The 15920-nt window shown below is 50.1% G+C and overlaps 1 protein-coding gene and 1 long non-coding RNA gene across 56 annotated transcripts in view, besides 4 other annotated features; one reads left to right on the top strand and one right to left on the bottom strand.

Moving 5' to 3' along the window:
- The window catches only part of AFAP1L2 (actin filament associated protein 1 like 2), a 124451-nt gene that overhangs the window by 75186 nt on the left and 33345 nt on the right, over positions 1-15920 (top strand). For 27 of the 55 annotated variants that reach the window (XM_047425858.1, XM_047425857.1, XM_047425873.1 and 24 more), the window contains 2 exons: positions 6729-6819; positions 14225-14430. In XM_047425858.1, the coding sequence (XP_047281814.1) occupies positions 6729-6819; positions 14225-14430 (297 nt within the window). Of the gene's footprint in view, positions 1-3949; positions 4109-6728; positions 6820-10344; positions 10429-14224; positions 14431-15920 lie in introns of those variants that run through there. The other 28 variants (XM_047425856.1, XM_047425854.1, XM_047425855.1 and 25 more) reach the window with 3 other exon arrangements.
- Positions 905-1550: an enhancer, noted in NCBI's record as "H3K27ac-H3K4me1 hESC enhancer chr10:116088199-116088844 (GRCh37/hg19 assembly coordinates)". NCBI's record gives its function as "activates a minimal SCP1, AML or CMV promoter by ChIP-STARR-seq in naive H9 embryonic stem cells {active_cell/tissue: H9 hESC(naive)}" and the evidence as "EXISTENCE:reporter gene assay evidence [ECO:0000049][PMID:30033119]".
- LOC105378494 (uncharacterized) lies at positions 3099-8984 on the bottom strand. Its single transcript, XR_946334.3, has 3 exons — positions 8940-8984; positions 6890-7043; positions 3099-3384 (listed from the first exon to the last, which is right to left on the bottom strand). It is a non-coding gene; the product is annotated as an uncharacterized LOC105378494 (long non-coding RNA).
- Positions 8657-9358: an enhancer, noted in NCBI's record as "H3K27ac-H3K4me1 hESC enhancer chr10:116080391-116081092 (GRCh37/hg19 assembly coordinates)". NCBI's record gives its function as "activates a minimal SCP1, AML or CMV promoter by ChIP-STARR-seq in primed H9 embryonic stem cells {active_cell/tissue: H9 hESC(primed)}" and the evidence as "EXISTENCE:reporter gene assay evidence [ECO:0000049][PMID:30033119]".
- Positions 8657-9968: a biological region, named in NCBI's record as "P300/CBP strongly-dependent group 1 enhancer GRCh37_chr10:116079781-116080980".
- Positions 8769-9968: an enhancer, noted in NCBI's record as "P300/CBP strongly-dependent group 1 enhancer chr10:116079781-116080980 (GRCh37/hg19 assembly coordinates)". NCBI's record gives its function as "activates an origin of replication core promoter dependent on BRD2, BRD4, P300/CBP, MED14 and CDK7 cofactors, with strong dependence on P300/CBP, by STARR-seq in HCT116 cells {active_cell/tissue: HCT116}" and the evidence as "EXISTENCE:reporter gene assay evidence [ECO:0000049][PMID:35650434]".

Genomic DNA, 15920 nt, shown 5'->3' with positions numbered 1-15920 from the left:
GAGCCTCAACCCCATACCATGCACACACACCATCCGCCCACCACCCATCGAGGGATGGGTATTTTTGTCACTGTTTTTCATATGAGGAAACAGACTCAGAGTTAAAAACCACTGGCCACGGTCCCACAGTTGGGAAGTACTAGGCCAGGATTTAAATGCAGGTTTTTGTTGTTGTTGTTCCCAATTCCTCCCCCAGCCTGGGCCTCCCTGACATTTGCTTCTCTCTGTAACAGAGCAAAGGCTTAAGCTATGCTCCCTCCAGTGCCAGGCTCCCCTCACTTTCAGCCCTGATACCTGGGGGAAGAGCACAGCCCCTCTGCTGTCCCATCCATTGGCTGATGGCTTTAACCAGAGGTTTTCTGGTATGGCCCAGGCATTGCTTGCTGGGTGGTGGGAGTGGAAAGGTGGCTGTTCTGAGCCACGGCTGGAACTTTTCTATCCTAAATCCAGCGTCTGATTCTGACCAAGGTATCTTGGGCTTTGCTAGTGGAAGTGCCATCTTCTGCCCCACCAGGGGCAGCTGCTGGTGGGTCCCCACCTGGTGGGTAGGGGCAGAGTTTCATGAGCACCGCGTACTGTGTGAGTGTTCTAGAAATTGTGTTTTACAAGCACAGCATGGACTGAGGGGCCCAGGGTCTGGGACCTGGCTACAGCTGTAAGTTAATTGGGCCACGGAGAGTCCCTGCGGGCCCTGGGATTCCAATGCTGGCTTCTGTTCCTCAGCCAGTGCCCTGTGCCTCAGACACTGAGTGTGGGGAGGGGAGCGTGGCCCCCTCTGAAGTAGACTTCCTGGATTGTCGTCTGTGACTAGGGCTTGTGTCCCTGTTTGAAAGGAACTGGTGCGGCAGTTGGGGAAAATATCAGCACCCAGGAATGGCACGATCCCAAGGAGGCCTTTCAGCCAAGTGGTAACTGCCTGTGGACAGCTTCCAGGCCCCAGGGAGACTTCTAGCAAAGCCAGCTGACTTGACAGGAAAAGGCAGCTCCCTCCCACTTTGTGGACTTTCTCTGCTGTGAAGGACCAGAGACGGGTGTGGACTGCGAGTCCCCTGGCTAGGTCCCACCTGGTCTTGTGCAAGGCACCCACCTCTACCCCAGGGTGTTCCAGATGTGGTGTGGGGATGTAGGTGGTGTTCACCGGGCACTCTCCCTGTCCTTGCCCACACACATGAGCACATGTCCTCACTCCCTCAGGCCTCCTCTCTTGTTGAATCAGGCTGAAGCAGCCATCACTCTTAGTCCAAGGCCCCCAGAGGAGCAGCGTCAGGGTGGAGTCATGTCTGTGGCTCTGAAGGAGGAGGAGAACCAGAGCAGGGAGAGGCCATGGCCGCTGGAACCCCATGGCCATGCTAGCCAGACCATCAACCGTGGCCAACAAACATCTGTTTCTCTCGCAAGGACCACAGCACCTGGCTGTGTAGACAGCAGCCTGGAGAGGCCACAGCTGCCTGAGTCACTGTCCAGCTCAGGCTGGAACCCTGAGCCTGGAGTGCCCTGTGGCGTCTCTTCCTCAGACAGAAAACCCGCCCTTCCTCCCTTGATCCCAGAACTTCAGGGAGGTTTGTCCACCTGAGGGCTGGGCCCTGCACAGCTGCCTGGCCCTGGGCTCACCGGCACCTGCAGCAGCACCTGCAGCAGCACGTGGACATCCACCTGGGGTCCTCAGGGCCTATGGCTGGGCCAGGATCATGCCTCGGTCACAGGCTCGGGATGCTTATCGGCCACGAGCCCAGATGTCCTCACTCCAACCCCTACAGACTCAGTAGAGAGCAGGTCTGTCCAGCAATAGAAGGGGCAGCCAGGGGTTTGGAGCAACCTCGTGGGTGTGGACAGTGACTCAGGCAGCTGTGGCCTCTCCAGGCTGCTGTCTGCACAGCCAGGTGCCGTGGTCCTTGCAGGAGAAACAGATGTTTGTTGGCCATGGTTGATGGTCTGGCTAGCATGGCCATCTCCACCCCATCGTCCCTCTGAGGCCTGGCCATGCGCTGGCCTGCTCTTACATGAGCTTCTCTGTGGGGGAAACCACTTAATCCCTAAAAGGACATTGCCGTGGCTAGCCTCGGAGGCTGGGCCTGGCCTGTCCACTCACCCCCACCTGGGAGCCTTCTGCAGCATACTCTGGGGCAGGATGGTTAGAGCTGTGAGGATGCCTCGGGTCCTCTGAGCCACCCCTCATCAGCTCTTGTGTCTAGTCTAAGCCAGGTGTTGGCAAACTGTAGCTCACTGGCCAAATCTGATCTGTAACATCCTTTAGTAAATAGTGTTTTATTAGAACACAGCCAGCCTTATTTAGTTGTATTAGTCTGTGGACTTCTGAGCTACAGCAAGCAATAGAGTTGAATAGCTGAGATAAGACAGAGGTCCCGAGTGGCCACAAGTCCCTAAAATATTTACTTTTTGGCCCTTTCCTGAAAAGATTTGCGGCCCTCTGGACCTCTGGTCTGGTCAATCCTGCCAAGCCTGACTCGCTCACGCAGTCCCTTCCTCCAAACAGTCAAAGTTTTTCAGGTTTTGATGTTAAATCTCTTCTGGATCTTCATTTAATATTCACAGTCTTCCTGTAATCCCAGCACTTTGAGAGGCTGAGGCAGGCAGATCACCTGAGGTCAGGAGTTTGAGACCAGCCTGGCCAACATGGCGAAAACCACGTCTCTATTAAAAATACAAAAATTAGCCAAGCGTGGTGGTACGCAGCTACTCGGGAGGCTGAGGCAGGAGAATCACTTGAACCTGGGAGCTGAAAGTTGCAGTGAACTGAGATCACACCACTATACTCCAGCCTGGGCAACACAGTGAGACTCTGCCTAAAAAAAAAATATATATATATATATATATATATATAAATATATATAAAATTCACGGTCTTCACCATCATAATGATAATAATCAAAATAATAGTCCTTTCTCCTTAACCCTGTGAGATGAGGATCTGTCTCCTTGAAGCTCTGATAATAGGTCACTGTGTCTGTTTAATCATGTGACTCATCATTTAACCCAGCATTCTTGAGAGCTGGGACTCCACCCTATGGTCTCCTCTGTACCCACCCCCAGAGTACACTAGTTTATCCTCCACCAAACACATATACGCAAAACTTTTCTCCCTTTCTTATTTTTACATTTTATTTTTTAGATTAGTAAAAACTAATATGTATTGAATATTGAATAGTGATAGGCACACTTCAATCCTTACAGCAACCCCATGTGACAGATATTTCTATTCTCCCCTTCTTATGCCAAGTCCAGAGAGGTCAAGTGAATTGGTCGGAGTCACATAGCAAGGATGTCCCAGTGTCAGAATTCAAGCCTGGTTCTGGAGATCGGACTCCACTCCTGCCCTGCACTGTCTCTGCATAGTGAGCCATTTTCAGATTTTGCAGTGTCAACCTACAGGCAAAAAACGGAGACAAAATAAATATAAGTAGAGAGTTTATTCTGACCAAAATTTCAGGGCTGCAGCCCAAGAGCACAGATTCAAGTTACCCTGAATCCATGTTCCTATTGGCAGCAGTTACAAGTGGGTTTTCAAAGGAAAAAGAAGAGGCAGTTTTTAAGTTGTTTACCAATATTTTATATTAAAATACTGTAAGCTATCGATCAGCTAAACATTGTTCTTTGTATCATAAATTACAGGAACCTGAAGACAATGGATGAGGCAGCTAGTGAGGAGTAAAATGCCTTTAAACAGTTGCCCCCAGGAATGGGGAGGGGAGAAAACGGTGCCTGAAGCCCCATACTCCTGGGCTTGATACATTTTGCACACCTCGCGTAGCTCAAACTTCTCTGAGCTATTTTTCTTCTCAACAGAAGCTTAGGAGACACTCACAAAACACTGCCTGGCTCCACCCTAGACAGGACAGGAGGCCCCCAGGGACAGACCCTGTGGTGATGATGACCCATGGGGAGCTCCTGCAGAAGGGTTCACTCCTCCCTTTGTCCTGTTCGACTCTAGAGAATCCTGACCTTGGGCCAGATCTCGGGTGCCCAGAGCTTTTCTCCAGATGGGACCCACCTGACGGGAACGGAGTTTCTTGGAGGCTGGAGCTGGAGGCCCAGCCAGATCAGGCTGATGAGCCCTGGGACCCACTGGGGAGACCTTACTGCCACAGAGGCGAGAGGACCCTTTCCCTGTGGACCCTAGGGAGCCTGTTGTTAGTGGACCACAGGCAAGTCTGTCACTGTCTCAGCCTTTTCTCAGGCTGCTGGCTGACCAGGGGGACCAGGAAAGGCTGAGAGAGCAAAGATCTTGTACCAGGCTGGGGCTGGCAAAGAGGGAGGACCATACACTAGAAGTTACCAATGGCACGCTCATTGTCTGCTAGGGCCTGGCTGCCAGGCAGGAGCCTGGGCAGAGGTGTGCAACCTGGCTCCCTTCAGCAGTGCGTCTGTCAGCCCAGTACAGTGTCGGGTTTGCTTATGAAGTGACCAAATTCTTTGATTCCTTTCTTTGTAGGGGGTGCCACATGCCAGAGGAGGGCTGAAGGCTGTTCTGAGCCTGCCCTGTGCCTCATATCAGCTCTGTTGGTACAGGACCAGATCTGGTGCTGGACCCAGGCTGTGGCCTGGCCTCAGCCAACCCTCTGCGATGCCCCGACAGGGTCGATCCTCTTCGTCTCAGCTTTCAGGACAACACATTAACTGCCTGTCACATTAACTGCCCTCACTGCGCAACCTGCAGACCCTGGGACTGTGGAGGGGCCCCAGACAGTGATAACAATGGCCTCCTTGTATTTAATATGGGCCAGGCCCTGTGGAAACACTATCACGTTTTGTCTCATTGAATTTTCAAAACAACCCTAGTATTATTATTTTATAAAGAAGGAAAGCAAGGCTCAGAGAGGCTGTCACATACCCAAGGTTAAATCTATGAGGTCCTGAAGCCCGGATTGAAATCAAGTTACATGAACTCCAGGGTCTATATAAACAGACTGTAGAGTCCAAACCACACAGGACTGGGCTCTGGGGACCCTGGTATCCTCACCCTGGGGAAGCTGGAAGGGATACTCTTGCAGCCCAGGCTGAGGACTGTCCCACAGGGGCTAAGCACAGGCTGCCTGTCCTCCCACTGTCTCCTGGGCCAGGAGTAGGGGAGCTACCTCCATCCTGGGTCCCCCAAATCCATTTTTCATGGCAGGAGTTTCTGGATTCCTAGCATTACCCTCTCCCCCAAAGCACAGGGGTCCACCTGAGCTCAGGGCACTGCAGCGTCCTTCCATTGGCTGCTGCTTCCATCATCTCCCCCTACAACCTCCCCCACCTCACAGCCTGCCTGTGCTTTCACGTGGAGCCTCCTTGAAGGCCCAGGCCTTCCCTCTCACGCGGAGGGCGCAGCACAAGGACTTCTCAAAATCAAGAGTGGGAGGGAATACATTTCGAGCTCTGCCACTTCTGTTGTGAACTCATTATGCATATTCCCATGGAGTTTCATGATTCAGAAAGACACCACGGGCATGGTGGCTTGCGCCTGTAATCCCAACAATTTGGGAGGCCAAGGCGGGCAGTCAGTTGAGGTCAGGAGTTTGAGACCAGCCTGGCCAACATGATGAAACCCCATCTCTGCTAAAAATACAAAAATTAGCCGGGGGGGGGGGGGGGGTGGTGCACCCCTGTAATCCCAACTACTCGGGAAACTGTAGCAAGAGAATTGCTTGAACCTGGGAGGAAGAGGTTGCAGTGAGCCGAGATTGCACCATTGCACTCCAGCCTGGGTGACAGAATGAGACTCTGTCAGAAAAACAAAACAAAAGACACTGGAGACCCATGTTCAAGGGTGCTTACACATTCACGACCTGTCTGTCATAATAGTAATGCAACAAATTACCTCTTTTTCTCCCCCATGGTTGTTTATAAAGGTAGCTTATTGAAGCATAGCTTCATAGTCTAGTGCCTACTATGCAGGTGGAATAAGGGAGGAACACAATGATTTCACGTTCTGTGCTTCTGACACAGTTGCAGGTGTTTTTTATTCTCAAATTGCACACGTTCAACCTCATCCCACATAAGCTCAGGGTCATCTTTGAGGCTCGGCGCAAAGATCACATACCCTGGGCATCCTTCCTTTGTCCTAAATATTCCTCACACCCTCCTGTGGTTCTCACAGAACTTTGACCTTGTCCATTATAGCACTACTATATCACAATGCACTTGACCAGGAGCTGTTAAAAATCTACCAGCTACTCAAGCTTTTCTTAGGACTGACTCCTGAAATTTCGATGTGTCCCTCTCAGCTAGTACATGGAAGTCATCCAATATTTGCTGAATGAGTGATTGAACTATATTATGGTAAAAGTGTAGGATTTAGAAACCTGGTCCTCTTTCTCCCTGTGCTATTGATTAGCACTTGTCTTTTTAGAAAATATATTCTATTTAAAAGCCACAATAGCTATCCCAACAGCCGGGCACTCTCTGGACTGCTAAGTGCATGATATATCATGTACATAATGATATTTTGTGTGTGTGGTAGGGGGCTTGAGCCTCATTTTGCAGGGGAGAAAGCTGAGTCTTGGCAAGGTTAAACAACGTGCCCACAGCCCTTCCGTGGCTACAGACCAAACACTATGGACTGTGACTGATGGGATTCATGATACTGCATGTTCTCCCTCCCAACTTGCTTAAAGTTTAAAGTCCAGCTGGGCATTTTTGTCTTCTAGACTTCCACCCGAAGAGTTATTTCCAAGTTGCTCCCAGTGTACCATATCTGCAAACGTTTGTCTTATTTGTTCATACCACAGATTCCAGAACGGAAACAGCTTGCCATCCCAAAGACGGAGTCTCCAGAGGGCTACTATGAAGAGGCTGAGCCATATGACACATCCCTCAATGGTACATCCCAGCGGCTGGGGCTTGGGAGGGTGACTTACTGCTTCCTGCACAGATGTTGGTGCAGACTTACCTGGGGGTAACAGATACACTCATCCTGGGCTGGGTGACAGAGGGTAGTCTGGGCTGCTGTGACAGGAAAGCATGGTCCAAATTGAGAACTGGCCACAGAGCATTCAGCCTTTAGTGTGAATGGGGAGCCAAGACCCACAGCAGACCTAGCTGTCCTGCAAGGAGGAATGAGGGATGGTACACAACAAATAGATTGACTGCATCTGATGTTTTCTGTGGTTCCTGCCTGCAAGTTGTGAGATTTCAGCACAAAGGTGACAGAAGAGAGGAGTGTTGGCCAACAGGCCCAAGGCCCTGGTCAGCAATGGAAGTGGCGGTCAGGCTGAGTCTGAGCTCAGTTTCCATGTTCTTTCACTGGACTCATAGTTATGGTGCTCCCGCTGTGTCAGGGACAGGAGCCCAGTCATCCCAGCACTGACATTCCGTGAGAGAAAACAGACAACAAATAAACAGCATGTGTCGGTGGTGATAAGTGAGAGGATGGAAAACAGAACAGGAGCTGGGCTTCTGCAGGACAGGGGAGTTACTTTAGATAGGGAAGGCTTCTCTGATAGCATGACTTAAACAGATTCCTGAATGAAGTGGAGAGTGAGTCAGGCAGATACATTCAGGAAGAACTTTCCAGACAGAGAACATGGTATCTGCAAAAGCGTCAAGGCAGGAGAGCTCTGGGTGTGTCTGAGGAACAACAAGGAGGCCAGCATGGCAGGAGCAGGGGAGAATGAAAGGAGGTGGGGACGCAGATGGGGCTGCCAGCCACAGGAATGACTTTGGCCTAGTTCTGAATGAGGAAAGACTGCAAACCTCCAGAGGGTTACTTAGGGACTGACCTAACTTAGTGTATTACTCTGTGCTCATGCTGCTAATAAAGACACGCCCGAGACTAGGTAACTGATAAAGGAAAGAGGTTTAATGGACTCACAGTTCCACATGGTTGGAGAGGCCTCACAATCATGGTGGAAGACGAAGAGCAAAGACGTCTTACATGGCAGTAGCAAGAGAGAGCGTGTACAGGGAAACTCCCCTTTATAAAACCGTCAGATCTCGTGAGACTTATTCACTATCACGAGAACAGCATGGGAAAGACTCACCCCCATGATTCAATTACCTCCCACCAGGTCCCTCCCATGACACGTGAGAATTATGGGAGCTACAATTCAAGACGAGATTTGGGTGGAGACACAGCCAAACTATATCACTTAGGTATTGAAAAGATCGCCCTGGACACTGTGTGAGCGGCTCTGTAGGCAGGGCTCATGCTAACACCCTCTGTCCTTGGCTGATGGCTCTCAGCCTGAGGAAGTTGGATCAAAAGTGCTCTTGGTGTGGGGATTTGATCACACAGGAAGGCTTTGAGATTCAGAAAGAAGTGGTTGTGACCCTCGTCTCTGTGGCAGCTGGACTGTGGTCCTCCCCTTCTGTCCTCCTTCTCTTTCCTTCCTTTGTAGGTGAAAGGGCTTTCAAAGCATAAATCAATCAGCAGATATAAAAGGCTAGGGCCCCTGGGGCTGGGAATGAACTAGGCTGAGGAAGGTGTTGTTGGTTCCATAAAGAGCAGGACCAGGAATGAGATGGAACCAACCTAAGTGCCATCAACCAATGAGGGGGATAAAGAAAATGTGGTACATACACACCACAGAATACTACTCAGCCAGAAAAAGGTATAAAATAATGTTTTTTGCAGAAACTTGGATGGAGCTAGAGGCCATTATTCTAAGTGAAGTAACTCAGGATGAAAAACCAAATATCTTATGTTCTCACTTATAAGTGGGAGCTAAGCAATGAAGACCCAAAGGCATGAGTGATATAATGGACTTTGGGGACTAGCGGGGGAAGATTGGGAGTGGGGGTGAGGGATAAAAGACTACATATTCGGTACAGTGTACACCACTCGAATGACAGTGCACTATCTCAGAAATCATCATTAAAGAATGCATCCACCTGAACCCCAAAAACTATTGAAATAAAAATAAAAAGAACAGGACCAGGGATGAGATGGGACCGGTGACTGGGAGCGGGATGGGATTCCCCTGCCCTTCCTTCACACTTACCTGCCACCTCCTGCTGGGAACTCTGTGGGAAGTGAGCGCCTGTTTAGGCTGAGTCTATTCTAAGACGCTGGCTTTGTGGGCAGCCAGCACTTAGCATTGACCCACTGAGCATGCGAGGTGGTGCCAGCTCACCAGTCGGGCTGTGATTTCAGACCAAAGGCGAGGGTGCGGTGCTGCTGTCTGGATGCGCGTTGAAGGTGGAAACAGTGACTCACCGCAGTGAGCACTTCCCTGCTCCCAGGTGTGGCCGGGCCAGCAGGGGCCTGCCTGCCAGACGCACCAGGGGGCCGGTTTGTGGGTCAGACACTCCATCTCGACACAAACAAGTGGTCAGAAAGGCCAGCGCTTCTTGGTTTTGTCTCTCAACTGTGAGTTCATATTGGTCGTAGCCGGGACTAGGGGTCATCCCAAGGACAGCTTGAACTCACTGTGTGGAGTGGGTCAGGAAAGCTCCAAGATGGAGGAAAACCAGCTGCGAGGTGGGAGGGAACATAGCCCTGCCTGTCCTGCCAAGGAGAGGCCTGGGGATGACTTGGGGAGAAGCAGTCATGGTCAGCACAGAGGGAGGCCTTCACCTGCCTTACAAGCTGGCCTGACCTCAGGTCCTGCCTGGTCAAACAGTGTGACATGCAGGTTGTGACTGGAGGAATAGGCGTGGGGCCCCAGCCCCTTGCTATAGTTGGCGGCCATAGCGATTTGCTGACTTCTTGCAAAAGGCCAGTTGCTTGGATTCTTGACCTGCTCTATCAGCCCTATCCCCACACCGCTCCCCTGGGTCATGTCCCTCTCTCTGAGCACATGTGTAATAAGTGCCCTGCTGGCCTGTGCTAGGGATATCGGGGTCTGCCCTGCTTGCCAGAGATACCAGGTTCTTCACTGATGGTGTCTCACCCTGGGGTACTGCTAGCAGCTGTAACAAATAACCCAGCAGCTCCTGTTTATAGTAACACAATGCAAACCTGTTTCTCACTCGGGTATTTCAGTGTGGGGCATTACTCATCCTCATGTAGATTAGGTGCCCGGGCTCCTTCCATGTTTGTCTCGGCCACCCTCGAGGGACGCAAAATCCTCTGCAAAGAGAGAGCAGAGAACCCCTATCTGCTTCTTAACAGCACCAGCCGGAAGTCACGCACATCACTTCTGCCCACAGTCCCTTGGTGACAAGTAGTCACATGGTCATCTCTGGATGTGAAGGGGTCTGGATCTAGGAAATGATGTCCTTGGCTTAGCAGTGGCCTCACCCAACAGCCTACACCTCTGATGGGCAAGCACTAACCTCTGGTGGACTGGCAGCCGAGTTGCCACATCTGGGTCTCTCTCTTTGTGTCTCTGCACTTGGGCGTGCTCCTCTCTTCATTCTGTCTCTCTTCTCTTCCCTCTGTCTGTGCTCCTGGATGTTATGCAGGTCACTCTGGCGGATTTCTCCCCACTGGAGTCCCCAGATGGGTGCAGGTGCCCGAAGGAGTCATTTATGCCACGATCACCTTGGGTACTGCTTACTCCCCGAGCTGGAATGCCAGTGATTCTTGCCTGCTGCCTGTCTCTCAAAGATGTGTGCATGTCCCGAGGGTGGCCACTGTCTTCTTCCTGTCCTCGTGCATGAGTCTTGCACTTGCATGCCACGTGCGATCTTCCAGAGGAGCAACCTACTTGGCTTTCCACAGCCCCCACCCCCCACCCATGTGGTATCAAAACACATGGCTAAAAGACCCACAGTGTGCATGGCTGTTCTGCCCTCAGTTCCACAGGACACAGTGAGGTAGAGTCTACCTAGGGATGGCAGATGGGGATGGCATTATCTCAGCATCCTGCCTCTCATTCCTGTTCACCCTGCCCCTCCTAGAAGCCAAGTATCTGTTTTAAGAATATCATACTGTTTTTGTTTTGTTTTGTTTTTGGGACAGAGTCTGGCTCTGTCACCCAGGCTGAAGTGCAGTGGCATGATCTTGGCTCACTGCAACCTTCACCTCCCAGGTTCAAGGGATTCTCCTGTCTCCGCCTCCCAAGTAGCTGGGATTACAGGCACGCATCACCATGACCGGCTAATTTTTGTATCTTTAGTAGAAACGGGGTTTTGTCATATTGGCCAGACTGGTTTGAAACTCCTGGCCTCAAGTGATCTGCCCTCCTCAGCCTTCCAAAGTACTGGAATTACAGGCATGAGCCACCATGCCTGGCCAAGAATATGCAATGTTTGTGGTGTGCTGTGATCCCTTTTAGGGGTAAAAACAATTATTAATATATTTGCTCTAAATTTCCTCCAAGATACTCCAGGAGTATGATTTGTTGTTCTTTTTTTTTTCTTTTTTTTAGACAGAGTCTCACCCTGCCGCCAGGCTGGAGTGCAGTGGCGCGATCTCAGCTCACCGCAATCTCCACTTCCTGGTTCAAATGATTCTCCTGCCTCAGCCTCCTGAGTAGCTGGGATTATAGGCGTCCATCACCATGCCCGGCTAATTTTTTTTTGTATTTTTAGAAAAGACAGGGTTTCACCATGTTGGCCAGGCTGGTCTCAAACTCCTGACCTCAAGTGATCCACCCGCCTTGGCCTCCCAAATTGCTGGGATTACAGGTGTGAGCCACCATGCCCAGCCTCTTTTTTTTCTCAATGTTTTTTCTTTCATACCTAGTCCTGTTGATGATTTGCCGTTCTTAGTTTCCTAATACCCCCATGGAGGAGGATGGGCAGATGTTAGAATTCTTCATGAAACATGTGGGGCAACCCCAGAAGCACAGAACAGTGGAGACTTACCCAAATTCTTCACAGTAAACTCTGTAGCCTCCTCCATTAATTTTTGTTACTGAAGGAAGTATCCCAATGACAGTATATCATTTTTTAAATGTCGCTTATTATACAGATAATGCAATACTGGCAATAAGGAAAAACATTTTTAAATCACCCTGATCCTACTACCCATCAAATCAACTATTTTGAGCTTTTTCTATGTTGCTTGCAGTGCTGATCTGTTTGCATGTATAGTTCTAACTGTGCTTTCTCCCTTATCATACCTTAGGGAGTTTATCCAGCTGCACACTAGTTTTCAGAGTTTTAAATGATTACAGTTGCATGGACATGACTAAGTGGGTAAAATCATGCTTTACTTACCCAGTCCCCTTCTGCTGACTGCTAAACAGCATTTGAATGAATATCCTAATGCATGTAACATTCTTTCCCACTCCCGCCCTTTTTTTTGAGACTGTCTCACTCTGTTGCGCAGGCTGGAGTGCCAGTGGCACGATCTCAGTTCATTGTAACCTTCGCCTCCTGGGCTCAAGCCATCCTCCCACCTCAGCCTCCCAAGTAGCTGGGACTACAGGTGCATACCACCATGCCCAGCTAATTTTTGTATTTTTTTTAGAGATGGGGTTCTGCCATGCTGCCCAGGCTGGTCTTGAACTCCTGAGCTCAAGTGATCCACCTGCCTTGGCCTCCCAGAATGCCAGAATTACAGGTGTGAGCCACCACGCCTGGCCCCTTCTCTTTTTAAAAAACTAGTTTCCTAGGATAAAATACCAGGACTGGGATTATTGGATCAAAGAGTATGGGTGTTTTTTATGGCTCTTGAAACAGGCTGCCAGACTGCTTTCTGAGAAGCCTGTGTTAATTTACGTTGTCACCTATAACGTAAGAGTTCAGGGTTCCATCCTGGGTAATACTGCTATTTTCAGTCTTATTTAATAGGTATAAATTATACACTTTTATATTAAGCCATTAAGAGAAGTAGTGTCACATGGCTTTTAAAGAAAATTGATACTAAAATGTTTAAAATGTTGTTTTTAGAAATATTAAAACACATTTTCACTGGCACTGTTGCTAGAATAACTATTGCAGAGGCCTCATCCCATTTTTCTATATTCTGTTTCAAATGTGCTTCTTAGTAAAATCAAACGTGCTTCTTAGTAAAATCGACAACATTTTATCTAGCTATACAGATAGGAGAAAGGGCTTCTGGATTCTTCTGCCAAGACTTACGGGTCTATGGGCTGGTCCTCTTCTGAAGGGTGTCATGGGAATGAAGGCAGAGTGTCATTCAGCCTGACTCAAGGGGACAGAACAAGGACTGCCATGCGGAAGTCAGGGAAATAGATGCTGAGTCCATTTCCTAACTGACAGGGCTGCCGGGAATGGGAGTATCCAGGGATCAGGAGATAGTGAGCCCTCCGTGGGAAATTTGGGCAGAGCATCAAGGTTATGATAGACAGGATTCCTGTGCCAGGGGTTGGACTGAAATCCTGAGGTTCCCTTTCCTCCATGTCCTGCTTTTCAGGGATAGATGGATGGATGAATAGAGAGAGAGATAGATCAATCAATCGATGGACAGATGAACTGATTGATTTTTCTTCACATGGTTTTTGTTTTGTCCTTGAATAGAGCAGTAGGACTTGGGAACAGAATAGCTCTTGCAGGGTGGTGGGGGCAGAAACTAGAAACTGAGGCAGTTGGGGTATGCGTAGAATCGTGCATGATTTGTGCTCTGATGAGTTTTAGGATTCTTTCAAAACAAAAGAGGAAGGGTTTAAGTTAGACACTAGTAAAAGGAGCTACATTTGTGCCAGGAGGTATTAGGCAGGGAGGGAGAGCAAGCAGTGTCTGTGGAGGGTATGAGTGGAGGTTTGAAGAAGGGCTATGACTGGGAGAGGGTATTTGGGAGTAAGAAGGTGGCCCCTTTCCCCAGAAAGTGTTTCCTGCTGTGGTTTATTTGGACTTTTATTTCTGAGGAGCCACAGCCCCTTCCCCAGATCTAGGACTGAGCCAGGCCCAGCCAGGCCAGCGGCCATCAGAGGCCTGCCTCACATACAGCTCAGGTGGAGCACGGATGGCGTTCTCTTCCTCCTGAGCCCTTGGAATGCCAGAGGCCAGGCCTGGGAGAACCTGGCAACATCCCACCCCACGCCTTTCATCTTTCATTTGAGGAATTAGAGGCCCCGAGTAGGAGAACTGGCCTTGTCAAGAGCAAACAGTTGGTCTGTGGGGCAGTGTCTTCTCAGGGTTTCTGTGGAGTTGGGAGTGACAGGATTTGAGGAAGAAAAGGGAGAGACTTTGGTTTTCAGTTATTTGTGTTTTGTGGCCACAGGCAGCATCCAAGAAGCCTTGCTGAGGGGTTTGGGGGCAGGAAAGCCAGCCCTGGGATCTGGCTGCTGGCTGTGGGGCTGCTTTGAGGGCAGGGAGAGTCGGGGGCTGTGGTCTGGCTGCTGCTGCTCCTGCCTGCTGCCCTCCCCAGCGATGCTGCTTCAGGACTGTCCCCTGCCCCATGGGGCCCTGACCGAGCTGGTCTTCCTTGCAGAGGACGGAGAGGCTGTGAGCAGCTCCTACGAGTCCTACGATGAAGAGGACGGCAGCAAGGGCAAGTCGGCCCCTTACCAGTGGCCCTCGCCGGAGGCCGGCATCGAGCTGATGCGTGACGCCCGCATCTGCGCCTTCCTGTGGCGCAAGAAGTGGCTGGGACAGTGGGCCAAGCAGCTCTGTGTCATCAAGGACAACAGGCTTCTGGTCAGTCTGCCTTACGTCGTCTTGTCCCCCGACTCCTCTCCTTGGGGAAGGGGCAGGGACAGGGAAGGAGGGACAGGATGGTCCCTGACCTCAGAGGTTTCGAGCTTGTTTATGTCAGGAGATTTTAACTTCTCCCTAATCTGAAATTGTATACAGGATTTTGTGTGTATGGATGAATGTACTTTTTCTGAACCAGAAAGGTCTAGTAGTTTCATCAAGTTCTCAAAGGGGGTTGTGACTACCACCGCCTCCCCCATCCCCATCCCATCCTCCTCTTTGTGAGACAGATACATCTTTCTGTCCCCTGGTCCTTTTTCACATCCTGTCCGCTGGAGTCCAGTCAGGCTCCTCCAGCCCAGCCCCAATTCTGGCTACTGTTTTTTGTTGTTGTTTTGTTTTGTTTGTTTGTTGTTGTTTTTGAGACAGAGTCTTGCTCTGTCGCCCAGGCTGCAGTGCAGTGGCGCAATCTTGGCTCACTGCAAGCTCCACCTCCTGGGTTCAAGTGATTCTCCTGCCTCAGCCTCCTGAGTAGCTGGGATTACAGGCGCCCGCCACCACGCCTGGCTAATTTATGTATTTTTAGTAGAGACGGGGTTTCACCATGTTGGTCAGGCTGGTCTCGAACTCCGGACTTTGTGATCTGCCTGCCTCAGCCTCCCAAAGTGCTGGGTTTACAGGCGTGAGCCACTGCGCCCAGCCCTGGCTACTGTTTTTATCTGTGCAGCATGAGAATGCTAGGTATCTTCTCAGAAGCAACAATATTTTGAATTAGTGATTACAAGACCAGACCCAGCAAGGAACCAGACATTACTCTGACAACAGTCCTGTTTCCTGCTATTTTAAATTAAAATTCCCAGTTGCGTGTCCTGATTTGAAATTCCACGGAATTATTATAAACACCTTTTCTTGCCTGGTTACAACAGGCCCTGCTCCGTGCCAATGTTATTTCAAGTAATCCTTTTAAGCAACCCTGTAACCCCATTTTACAAATGGGAAGCCAAGGGATAAAGTATTTTCTCTAGTAGGGGAAGAGTCCTTCCTTTCTTTGTTAATACATCATCTTCCTAACTAGGCAGATAAGAGGCTTAGTTTTTGTGCCTTATGGATCCTTTACTCCAGAAGCCAAGCAAGCAATACAGAGAGGTGGAGAAACAGTGAAAGTCTGTCCACTTTGGAGAACTGAACGGTGAACACAGAGGACGTATTTTAGGCCCTCCAGGCCTGGGGCAAGTTTGAGCCATTTGGATGGCAGCATCCTGGAGCATCCTTGGCTGAGGCCAGTGAGAAGGAGGCTTGAGGGAGAGAGGGACAATCTGATGTGAAGAACAGGAGTTGCTGATATTTGAGGTTAAGGCTCCAGGCCTGCTTCGGGGTGTCCAGCCTCTTAGTCTTGCTGGGTTAAGTCAGGCTCTTGGTGAGTCCTGCAACGTCCAGCGGCCCCTCCTTTGCAGACATCACCTCCGCCCGGCACCCCTGGCAAAGTGGTGTAT

Source organism: Homo sapiens, chromosome 10 (genome assembly GCF_000001405.40).
Source record: "Homo sapiens chromosome 10, GRCh38.p14 Primary Assembly".
Lineage (NCBI taxonomy): Eukaryota > Metazoa > Chordata > Mammalia > Primates > Hominidae > Homo > Homo sapiens.
This window is presented reverse-complemented; position numbering and strand designations above follow the sequence as displayed.